The sequence below is a fragment of the Homo sapiens genome, chromosome 10, assembly GCF_000001405.40.
Source record: "Homo sapiens chromosome 10, GRCh38.p14 Primary Assembly".
Taxonomy (NCBI): domain Eukaryota; kingdom Metazoa; phylum Chordata; class Mammalia; order Primates; family Hominidae; genus Homo; species Homo sapiens.
The window spans coordinates 114,825,163-114,837,317 of record NC_000010.11 but is presented as its reverse complement, the minus strand read 5'-3'; the positions used below and the strand labels follow the sequence as shown (position 1 = coordinate 114,837,317).

At 36.9% G+C, this 12,155-nt stretch overlaps 1 protein-coding gene across 2 annotated transcripts in view, besides 1 other annotated feature; it reads right to left on the bottom strand.

Moving 5' to 3' along the window:
• Positions 1 to 12,155, bottom strand: part of FHIP2A (FHF complex subunit HOOK interacting protein 2A) — a 78,053-nt gene that overhangs the window by 62,515 nt on the left and 3,383 nt on the right. For both annotated transcript variants that reach the window (NM_001135051.2, NM_020940.4), the window contains exons 2-5: positions 6,388 to 6,466; positions 3,916 to 4,085; positions 1,677 to 1,781; positions 1,072 to 1,194 (exon numbers count right to left, since the gene is read on the bottom strand). In NM_001135051.2, coding sequence (NP_001128523.1) covers positions 1,072 to 1,194; positions 1,677 to 1,781; positions 3,916 to 4,085; positions 6,388 to 6,466 — 477 coding nt within the window. The remainder of the gene's footprint in view (positions 1 to 1,071; positions 1,195 to 1,676; positions 1,782 to 3,915; positions 4,086 to 6,387; positions 6,467 to 12,155) is intronic.
• Positions 6,960 to 7,069: an enhancer, noted in NCBI's record as "active region_4092". NCBI's record gives its function as "activates an Ori minimal core promoter by ATAC-STARR-seq in GM12878 lymphoblastoid cells {active_cell/tissue: GM12878}" and the evidence as "EXISTENCE:reporter gene assay evidence [ECO:0000049][PMID:35858748]".

The following is a 12,155-nucleotide window of genomic DNA, read 5'->3' as shown; positions in this document are numbered from 1 at the left end:
ATCTCGAACTCCTGACCTCAACTGATCCACCTGCACCAGCCTCCCAAAATGCTGGGATTACAGGTGTGAGCCATCGCGCCTGGCCAGAAAAATATTTTTTAAAAAACAAAAGAAGGCCAGGTGTGGTGGCTCACACCTATAATACCAGAACTTTGGGAGGCCGAGGCAGGAGGATCACTTGAGCTCAGGAGTTCCAGACCAGCCCGGACAACACAGGGAGACACTGTCTCTACAAAAAAACTTAAAAAATTAGCCAGGTGTGGTGGTGCACACCTGTAGTCCCAGCTACTTGGTAGGCTAAGGTAAGAGGATCACTTGAACCAGAGAGGTTAAGGCTGCAGTGACCAATGGTCACGCCCCCATACTCCAGCCTGGGCTACAAAGCAAGACCCTGCCTCAAAAAAGTAAAAATAAAAATAAAAATAAATTACAAACAAGGACAAAAACAACATAATCATTTTTTCTAAAATATTCCAAAATGACTTCACTGCTGAAAAAAAGAAGTGAATGAAGGCAAAAAGTACAAAAATATATTTTTTACTTTAAATCTAGGAGTAAAATCCAAAATATCACTTGATTTAAATAAACTATGATTTGGTGACTATGGCTATCAAAACAGTACAAAATACTACAGCAATCCCAACTGCTATGAGGATGGAGAGATAACTCGTGCTTTTTTCCATCTTGTCCAAATCTGCACATGCCATCCTTATCCCAGGCCAGATTTCCCATGTTACATACTAGGGCAAGCTTGGCTGAAAATATGATAGCATATCAACTTCTGTGACTTGTCTATCTCTGATTCAACCTTCAAGCTGTCCTCTTTTAAGCCATGACTTTGTATCTGTCCAGTCCCTGTACCACCTCATATATCTGGCTCAACTGCATTCTTTGAAATTCTTTTCTCCCAGGAGAATAAAATAGTGATATTAAAGGAAAAATAATTCTGGGAAGTAAAACAAGCTAATAACCTGCAAAACAGAGCTCCTTCTAATATTATTCACATAATTCAATTTTCATAATGATCTTAATATAACTACAGTTTGAAAGTTGATAAAAAGTGTATCATACCTCTAGGAAAAAGTTAACCAGGTAGGGGTCCTGTTTCAGCTTCGCACACACAATGCAAAGAAACTGAATCTCTTCATTTTCTGTTGGTGTTGCTAGGACTTCACCACAGAGTCTAATTAATTTCTGTGAAAACAATTGTTTTTAACTTTTTAAACTTAGGCTACTTTTTACAAATTTGTAAAATAACCATTCATTTACCTTAAGGATATTTAAATTTTTCATATAATGCAAATATCCTGCATTAATCAGAACACTAATGATATTTATAATTATCTATATCAAAATAAACTTACTAGTGGTAAAATTTTCAAGTTCATTACCATAAATAATTAACGAGTTATATAATAAATTCTCCTTCAGATGTCATGGAAGTAAAATCCAAGGAAAATTCATGTATAAAATTTTAAAGAGAATCAGAAAGACTGTAAGTACACTGTAAATACACTTAATGCTATGTGATGCATAAAGAAAGCTCAAGTATTTGCTAACTTGCATGTTAATTTTGGAATAATTTCATTATTTTTACTCTCAGAAAAATAATATAAAATTATTTCAACATTAAAAGAAATCAAACAAAATGATTTTATGTAGGGGGAACAAAATACCTGCACTGGCCTGTGCACGTTAATGTGTGGAAGTAGTGGCTGCCGGATTCTTCCCAGAAGTTTCGTATAGAAAACCAAAACCTGCTGTTTCATTCCCGGAGGACACTGGGTATAGGAAAAAAGGAAGCCAACAGGAAAACAACAGACAATGCAAACACATTTACTGAAAAGCTTAAAAAATTGGAGAGACAATGTATATGAATGTATTCCACCTTGAAAAGACAATGCAACTGGCCAGTTAATAACTGTCAGAATAAAATTTTCAATCAAATATTAATGACAGGTATTCTAGAAATAATATTGTATATCTGAGACCATAACACAGCATGTGAGACCACAGGCTCATGTAGTTACAAACAGCACGGTAATAATATGTTGTTGAGATTAGAGCTTGGTGCAGTCAATGTCAACCTGTTTATATTCTAAATGCTGGGGTAACATGAAACTGTAATAGTTAACACCCCGCTGGAACAAAGGCAAAATCTTGTTACTTACACTAATGACAGACATGTCATCAACTTTCCATCATATATATGTAGGAGTAAATAAAGCCTCCTAACACACATGTAAATAAAAGGAAACCTATGGTGTAAACTGTTGTGATTTTATCCTAACATCATTTTAAATTAGAGCTGTGCCTCGGTATACACGATTATACCCAAATCTGCACTCACTCAGTTCTGGTAGTCAGCCCTGTGGAACCCACATATGTGAAAATTCAGCCCTTTGCATAGACAGGTTTTGCATCCTGGAAATACTATATTTTTCATCCATGTTTGGTTGCAAAAATTCTGCCTATATGTGGACCTACACAGTTCAAACCCATGTTGTTCAAGGGTCAACTGTAAATATTCTTTGCCTATTATAATCATAATATAAATCAAATTATTTACATTATGATTATAATAGGCAAAGAATGTTTAATAAATTAGTTTTTGTAACATGCCAGTTGTTTTAAGTATTTGCTGAAAAGTAGGTAAACCCAATGATCACTCACACTGCAGATTAAGAGAGTATGAATTAACAAGGTTAACTTCCTTAATTAAGCTGCTTATACTGCTTCACATTTCAAATACAGTTACAAAATAAGTATTTCCAAAGCATCATCATAGACATGTTATCTGGAAATAGTATAAACTATAATCTTATGCACAATATTTTTAAGCTAGCAAATACTTTACATTATTTAGATAAACCACTAAATTATATTTACAATCACCTGTATTAAAATAAATTTACTAGACGTACAATTACTAACTTCTGCTCAAAAATCAATTAATCAATTTATTATTAACAATCCTTCTCTCCAAAGGACAGGAAAAAGGAGGAGGAGAATGAGTTGCAGAATATTAGAGAGCAGGTGTGTTGCCTAAAAAACATAAATTGAGTGAATTTAACTTAAAAGTAAATTAGAGTATTACAGACAGACAAAAGGAAATCATCTTGCATGCTACTATTCATATCTCTCTGTCATAAAAATGTGTCTACAGGTTTCTTTTGTTTTAGCCTAATTTTTTTCACATATATCATAGAAATTCACAGAACTATATAGACTTTTAGGGCTGGGGAGGCCCCTTAGCAAACACTTCCTGGATTTTAAAGAGGAGGAAGATTAACCAAAGAGACTTACAATGGTCACAGTGTGTGAATAATGATGTCAGGACTGGAAGCCTGGCCCCCTAATCTGAACCCAAGGCTCTCCCGTTCCCTTACTCGGCCACACGGCTGGAAAACTTGTCTCTATAAGTAATTTGAAGGTTTTGGAATATAAAATATTATTGATATCACAATTTCAGCTTTGTAAAGATTTTTCAAAATTCATCAGGCCTAAAAAATATAAATTGGCTCCACTTAACAGTTTAGTTAGTGTCAAAATCATCAGTGACATTCTCTTCCAGGACTATGACAAATAATTCCTATTTTTCAATCCTATTTTAACTGACTTCCTTCTATCTCTTTTTTTTATTCTGAGCTCACGTACTTGAGTTTATTTTCATAAATGTTTACATTGGAATTCTAAGCAGCCAAGTACAAGTTGTTGTCTAGAGTGTTTGGAATCTTTCTATCTCTATGGACATATTTGTATAGGCTACACAATTTTCTTTTTTCTACAATCTTAACTTGAATCCTGCCATGTTCAATATGTACCTTTATAATCAAGTATTTGGCAGCTTCTTTATTCGTAAGACATTAATGCATGTACTAATGCCCAAGAACATGGTGTGGATCAGGAACTTACATCAGCTTTCCCCAAGGTATATAATGTTTCCAAGATCTTGTGATGAAGCAAATATTCCATACATGGCCCTGTCTCTCCAGATTCCCGTTCATTTTCTTCTTGAACCAGTATATCTAACATCTGTTCCAGATGCGATGGAATATTTGTATCGGTCACTGGGGCTTTATCATCTAAACAATAAAAAACATTCATCAAATATTTAAACATTTTTAAACTGCATATTTGCACCTAAAATACTCTGTATTTCCCTTTTCCTATTCAAACTGAGAAAAATCTGAACTACACACTTAAGTGAGGTTTATAAACACAGTATGATTATCTCTGCTAGAATTTAGATGATGCATTTTGTCATATTCTTACCCTAAAACTGAATCAATATTCTGAAATATGGCTAGGCACGGTGGCTCACACCTGTAATTCCAGCACTTTGGGAGGCCGAGGCAGGTGGATCACCTGAGGTCAGGAATCCAAGACCAGCCTGTTCAACACAGTGAAACCTCCTCTCTACTAAAAATACAAAAAAATTAGCCGTGTGTGGTGGCAGGCGCCTGTGATTCCAGCCACTCAGGAGGCTGAGGCAGGAGAATCTCTTGAACCTGGGAGGTGGAGGCTGCAGTGAGCAGAGATCGCACCACTGAACGTCAGCCTGGGCGACAGAGAGGGACACCATCTCAAAAAAAAAAAAAAAAAAATCTCAAATATATTCCATAAGCTAACATTCATCTATCCACAGTAATTCAGAAATAAGAGCTATTTATGTGGGAAATGGGAACATGACCAGGAAAAATACATGTCACATCAAAAATGTTCTATGTGTATTTATAATTAAAATATTTTTTTTTCACTTAGCCAGTTCAGAAGATCTGAACTTTAAGTCTCTTTAAATAGAAATAGGTTGGCCTTGAACATGAAGGCAAATAACCTGGGATATATGAAGAGGACAGATTCTGTTTTGGATTGCTACTACGTTACTTTGTAGGATTGGGAAATCTGTCACTTAATGTCCTTAATTCATTTTCTTCTATTACAATGAGAAGCCAAAAGGAAAACCCTCTATTAAAATTACTGACATCTCTCATTAACGTATAGCTGTTTTCCAAAATCTGTTTTTCAAAGTTGCTTCTCAGGAGAATTTTTATTAAATATTATTGATTTCTTATAATAAAATAAAAATTTAGTGATATTTTTTAACATATCACAGTTAGACTCAAACATCCCATGGTTTTATCAACCCATCCTTATTATACTAAGGTTAAATTACTCTTAAAAATGTGAAGTTTTATAGAACATTTAAATACAAAATACATTAGGAAGTGCCAAATTCTTTACTTATGTCTCTATTTTCATTTACTTTGTACTTCTATAGTTTGAACAACACAATTCTGGTATGCTATGTACTGATATGCTGCTTTGTCTGTATGTATACTAACACAGAAAACCATAACACTAAGCCTTATGGAGAAAACAATGGATAGAGAAGGGTCACCTTTGTTTTCAGGAGGACATATGTATCAAGTTTGATATGGTATGGGACAGTTGTTAAAAGCATGGGCCCTGGAGTTAGACAACTTGGATTCAAATCTTGGCTCTGTCACTTTCAGCTGGATGAACTGGTGCAAACTATGTAAGCATCAGTCACCAACAACTATAAAATGGAACTAATAAACACTAGTGAGTACTGTTATATGAATTCAATGAAATAATAAAGCTCAGTCCTTAGCACAAAGAATTCAAGAAATGTTATGTCTCATTTCATATTCTAAAATGAGTAGCCTAGCACTAGTAAAAGACGATTTGTAAGCTTACTTGTAATTTACTTTTTAAAAATGTGTTTTCCCCATAATTGTAGCCTTTATATACACAAACGCTCCAAGAAAGAATGAATGTTCAAGCTCTATCCACACTGGCTTCCTTAAAGTTCCTGGGATGTGCCAAGCGTGCCACATGCTCTGGCCTGAGGGTTTGTGAATTAGGTCTCATTCCCGAGACATCCTTCCCCCAGATATCTAGCAGGCTTGGTTCCTTTATCCTTTAGATTTCAGCTCACAAGTCATATTGGGCAATGAGGTTTTCTCTAACCTAAAATAGCCAACTGTCCACTCCCACCACCCCAACGTACTCTTTAGCCTGCTTCATTTTCCCTTGACGCTTATCATCTGACACACTATACATATTTGTCTATATACTGTCTGCCTCCTCCCAATCAATACATAAACTCTGTGAGGACAGCAGTGTTGTCTGTTTGACTGACTGTTCTATCCCCCAGTGCCTCAACAATGCCTGACACACAGTAGTAGGTGCTCAACAGGTATATTTTTAAATGAGTGACTGAATCTTAAAGACAAAGATAAGATTGTCTATAAACTTAAATATAAAATAACTTTGGAGACTTACTTAAAAATATTTTAGTATTTCACAAATTTTCTGTTTAACTTTCACAAATTTTCAGTTAATATCAGCATTGTTCCTTACCTGAAGTCTCTATGTAGTAATGGGTAATTGCCTTCCAGTGATAAACAAAATCTTCTTGTAAAGGAAGAGAAGGTGCAAGCTACACAAACAAAAGACCACAACAATTAAGAAAATGGCATTGAAAATTTCCCATAACTTATAACTCTGTATTTATCTATTACAATGCAAAGGTAGCATAAAAATAAGGGGTGAACTTTGTTTTTATATGTCAGATATTAAAGAGAAACAAAATAAGTCAAATCCAAGAAAGTAAAAATGAGTTATCAAGAAGAGGAAAAACATATTTATCAACATTATTATTAAACTACAGTATCAAGCTTTTTTTTCCTCCCCTGACACTTTTTTAAAAGTAGGTTTCAGGCTGGGGGCAGTGGCTCACACCCCTAATCCCAGCACTCTGGGAGGCTGAGGTAGGTGAATCACTTGAGGTCAGGAGTTCAAGACCAGCCGGGCAACGTGGTGAAACCCCATCTCTACTAAAAATACAAAAATTAGCCAGGCGTGGTGCCGTGCGCCTGTAGTCCCAGCTTCTGGGGAGGCTGAGACAGGAGAATCGCTTGAACCTGGGAGGTGGAGGTTTCAGTGAGCCAAGATTGCGCCACTGCACTCCAGCCTGGATGACAGAACGAGATTCTATCTCAAAAAAAAAAAAAAAAAAAAGTAGGTTTCAGAGGTATATTAAATGAAAACGAAACAATATTCTATTACTGACATATCAGTAAATGAAATTACTAATAGCCAGGAATCTTTGTACCTAGGACTTTGAAATGCAAAACAGTAAAAAGCTGCTATGTAATTAGTTCCACATCATCACTACTAAAACATATACCAAAGTCAACTTCGTAATCAGATTAAAACTGTACCCTACATTCAGTGACATACAAATGTAAATCTTTTCTTTTTTAAGCTTGGATTAGGCAGTGCATATTTTTAGCAAAATAACTACTTGAACAAGATACTAACAATTTAAATTCCACAAAGTCAAAAATGCTCAACATTTTAGCTCTAAAACTTACTTCAGAAGTTTTATGCCCAAAATTATATCCCCTCAGCCATCTTATAGCAAACCTACAAGTATTTCAAGTGTGTGTTAAATGGATAGAAAAAGATTTGCATACACTTTCTACATTTCTTTTCCTTAAAGAGTGAAAGAGAGTGAGAGCTCCCCTAGTCCTAGTGTTGTCAGAGGCCTTTGAACCACAGCAACTCCATCTTGAACAGGAGCTGGGTAAAATGAGGCTAAGACCTGCTGGGCTGCATTCCCAGGAGGTTAGGCATTCTTAGTCACACGATGAGACTGGAGGTCACAGGTCCGATATCACAAGATACAGGTCATAAAGACCCTGCTGATAAACAGCATTCGGTAAAGAAGCTGGCCAAAACTCACCAAAACCAAGATGGTCACAAAAGTGACCTCCAGTTATCTTTACTGCTCATTATACACTAATTGTAATGCATTAGCATGCTAAGAGCCACTCCCACTAGTGCCATGACAGCCTTCAAATGCCATGGCAATGTCTGAAAGATGCCATCCTTATATAGTCTAAAAAGGGGAGGAACCCTCAAGGCTGAGAATGGCCCACCCCTTTCCCCAGAAAGTTCATGAATAAGCCATCCCTATATAGTCTAAAAAGGGGAGGAACCCTCAAGGCCGAGAATGGCCCACCCCTTTCCCCAGAAAGTTCATGAATAAGCCATCCCTTGTTTAGCATATGATCAATTAATAACTAGAAAAATAGCCAACTAGTAGCTCTTGGGGCTGCCCTGCCTATGGAGTACCCATTCTTTTGTTTCTTTACTTCTCCAGAGTCCATTTTCATAGACTTCCTCTAAACAGATGACCTAAAAGAGGTCATGTTATTCTTGCACTTCTACTGGTACCATTTTGATTTCTTGGTGTCCTGAGCATCCACCTCAGAGCTGGCAACCCTGTCGAAACAATTTCCGAACTATTGTCCAAATTAGAAATATTGGTCATAAACACCTTAAGTGTTTCAATCAAGAAGATGAAATGTATTTATGGAATAAAATAGACCTGAAAATATTTCAACAATTATCAGTATCTTCCACTGTAAATCGTACTGTGTTAAGAGAATAAAATATTCACCTTATTTTCAAGAAAATAAAAATAAAAAAGACTGCAAGAAAGGAGTTAAAATCTTTGGGAGTACTTTAACTTCAAGGAGAACATGGGGAGAAAAAAACTTACGGGAGATTGAGGGAAAAAATAAGGAAGAAAATTAAGAATCAAAGTATTAACTTGGGAAAACAGTATCATCTTCCTAAAATGTTTAGATAAAAAAAAGTTTTAATCAGCCACTTGTTTTTAGAATGTTCTCAAAATAATAAAACCTCTTCCTAATTTTTTTGGACCTGACTTCTATAGACTACCTTTATACAGTTAAGTGCATTCACGAGTGGGACAAACCCAAATGAAATTTGTTGTTTCAGGAACTGTACCTAATTTCTTAAGTGTAAATGCTATGATTTGTTAAATTTTTCCAAGGCAACCTCCTGGGTATATGAGGAGTTACAGTATCCTTTTTCCAGATTATTTCAGGAGTGGGATTTAACTGTATTTCAAGGGAATTGAAACTGTATTCTCTGGTCACCAGACAGAGAAGTCTTAGTGCATTTGTGTCAGGACCCTTGTTGTAGGTTACAGTCAAATTCAAAGCAGAATGGTGTTACTTTGTGAATACCTCCCTCCAGGAGTTAGATTTAAATAAGAAACCTATTTAACTAGAGAGTTAAACAGTTCTCAATTGCTAATAACTTAGATTAGTAATAATCTTGTTCAAACATGAATAAATGTCCTTATTTATGTAAAACTTTCTGGTAAACTTTCATTACTAATTCTAACATGCAAATTACCTGTTTTATCACTGCATAAAAATATTGATGCTCTGAGTTAAAAAAAAAAAAGTGTGAATCAGTATCAAGAGATTCCAATTTAATTTTTTACAACACAGAGAATTAAATTTTAAAAAATTCATGCAATGACTATCTCAACCCCAAGTTGACATGAAACCCTTAACTAGACTTCGCTTTCTCTGCAAAGCTTGACCAGGCTCTTCCTGCCTAGGATGGAGTCCCTATATATGCCTTGATACTCTTTTTTTTTTTTTTTTTTTGAGATGGAGTCTCGCTCTGTCACCCAGGCTGGAGTGCAGTGGCGTGATCTCGGCTCACTGCAAGCTCCGCCTCCCGGGTTCACACCATTCTCCTGCCTCAGCCTCCCGAGTAGCTGGGACTACAGGCGCCTGCTACCACGCCCAGCTAATTTTTTGTATTTTTAGTAGAGACAGGGTTTCACCGTGTTAGCCAGGATGGTCTCGATCTCCTGACCTCATGATCCGCCCGCCTTGGCCTCCCAAAGTGCTGGGATTACAGGCGTGAGCCACCGGGCCCGGCCTATGCCTTGATACTCTTTACCAGCTGGCTTGCTCTCTTTTATCCCATATCCCACTTTTGTCATTGTTTAATTATTCATCTCTTCCACTAGATTGTCAGCTCTATGAGGGCTGGAACTGTATCATCTTTTTCATCACTCAATCTCTGGTTTCCAACTCAGGCATGACACAGAGTTAAGTATTTGATAATATATATAAATGCATAAATAACACAGAAGTCACTGCCTTTTAATGAGTAGTTATGTGCCAGGTGTAATACTGCAAATTTTGCACATACTGTATGATCTTAAACTCTTGTGATAAACCTATTTTGCTCAAACTCTGAAGACTCAAAATTGGTTAACTGACTTACCCAAGGAAACACTGCCTTCAACTGGGAGTCTTGACTGTGTCCAATATACCCATCACACAAAAGTATCTAGATGGATAATTCAGATGAAAACTAGTGTTCTAAAAGCCACCTCTGCTTTTACTGTGTCTCATGTATCATCAACATTCCACTCCCAGATTTTATTTGATTTTTGAGACAGAGTTTTGCTCTTGTTGCCCTGGCTGGAGTGCAATGGCGTGATCTCGGCTCATTGCAACCTCTGCCTCCCGGATTCAAGCGATTCTCCTGTCTCAGCCTCCCAAGTAGCTGGGATTACAGGCGCATGCTACCGCATCTGGCTAATTTTTGTATTTTTAGTAAAGATGGGGTTTCATCATATTGGTCAGGCTGGTCTCGAACTCCTGACCTCAGGTGATCCGTCCGCCTCGGCCTCCCAAAGTGCTGGCATTACAGGTGTGAGCCACTGTGCCTGATGCCACTCCCAGATTTTTTAAATGCTTCTTTCTGCCCCTGGCTTTCCTAGTGACCTTCCCCATCTTCTCTGCCTCTCTAAAGTCTTGCTCACTTCCTTCCAGAGAGCCTTCTATAACAACTCCAATCCTAAATGCTTGCTCCCTTCTCCTATAGAGTTCACTGGCTAAACCAATCATCCAAATGACAATAATGGTTGACTTTTACTGAGCACTTTTTATGTGCCAGGCACTGCACTAAGCACTTCATGTACATTATCTCATTTTAATCTTCACAACAATTCTATGATAGGTTTAATTATTTCCCTTTATAATGAAGAAATGGAAATGTATACATATCAAGTAACTTGTCCAAGTGTAGAAGGAAGGGACAGAGGCAGGAATGGAACATGATTCTGTCTGGCTCTATGGGCTAGAACACATTCTTAGGCATTCCTTATTCTGTAATCTAACTTGTATATTTGTTTTGTTTCCCATATGAGACTGTAAGCATTGTGACCAAGGACACAAGCACACCAAGTCCACCTTGTTTCCCTCACTTGGAGCCAGGCTTTCGTGGTGACTCAGAAGACATGTGCTGAATGAGTGAAGGACTGAACCTAGAGATCACTTGTTGGAAAAGAATATGCCTGAGAAAACATGAGATACATTTGATTTGTGGTTTGAATTTCCAGGGCACAGGAGATTTTTAAGGAATTGCTAGTCTCAACAATCATCATGAACTCTTAACTATAATTTGAAAAGAAAACATTGCACTTACATTCTGAAAGATGACTTCCATTAAAGGAATTAGCTAAAATGATAAAACTCTTCCCTGACACTGTCCTTTATCCTCTCTGGAATAAATCTGCCCGCAAGGGTGGAACTGGTTGGAATTTAAGAGGAACATGCCCTTGGCACATTCCCTAGTGAGGACTAGGCTCTCAACAAATACCAAATTGTACTACATGGAAAGTGTTTTATCTATCTTTTGAAGAAGTTGTGTTAAAACAATCCAATCTAACCCCGGAACTAACTACAAGAAAGGCCTGAATTCAGACTTGTGACATGCGGCAACTGGCTAACAGATTCATTTCATAAGACTCTTACTGGCCAATCATTTCTGTACTGAGAGAAGACTGTCATTTCTAAAAAGGGAGGCAGGAGTTACATTACAGTTCTTGTTTTTAATCAAGAAGGTGTGAACTTATCTTCCATACTCAAAATGCAGTCTATCAGCTTAACAACACATTTTCAAATATTAATTTTGGAAAATATCTTAGTCATATTTTTCACGTTATAAGTAGTTGCCAGGGAGTGAGGAGAAACCATTAATTAAACAGTAAGATAAACTCTATGTTTAAGCCTCACTTAAATGAATACATCCAGTCAACACTAAAAAAACTATTTGGGCCAGGTATGATGGCTCCATCCCTATAATCCTGGCACTTTAGGAGATGGAGGTGGGAGGCTCACTCAAGCCCAAAAATGTGAGACCAACCTGGGCACAGTGTCTACATTGTGAGGCCCAGTGTCTACAAAAAATTTTTTTAAAAATTGAGTGTGGTGGTGCTG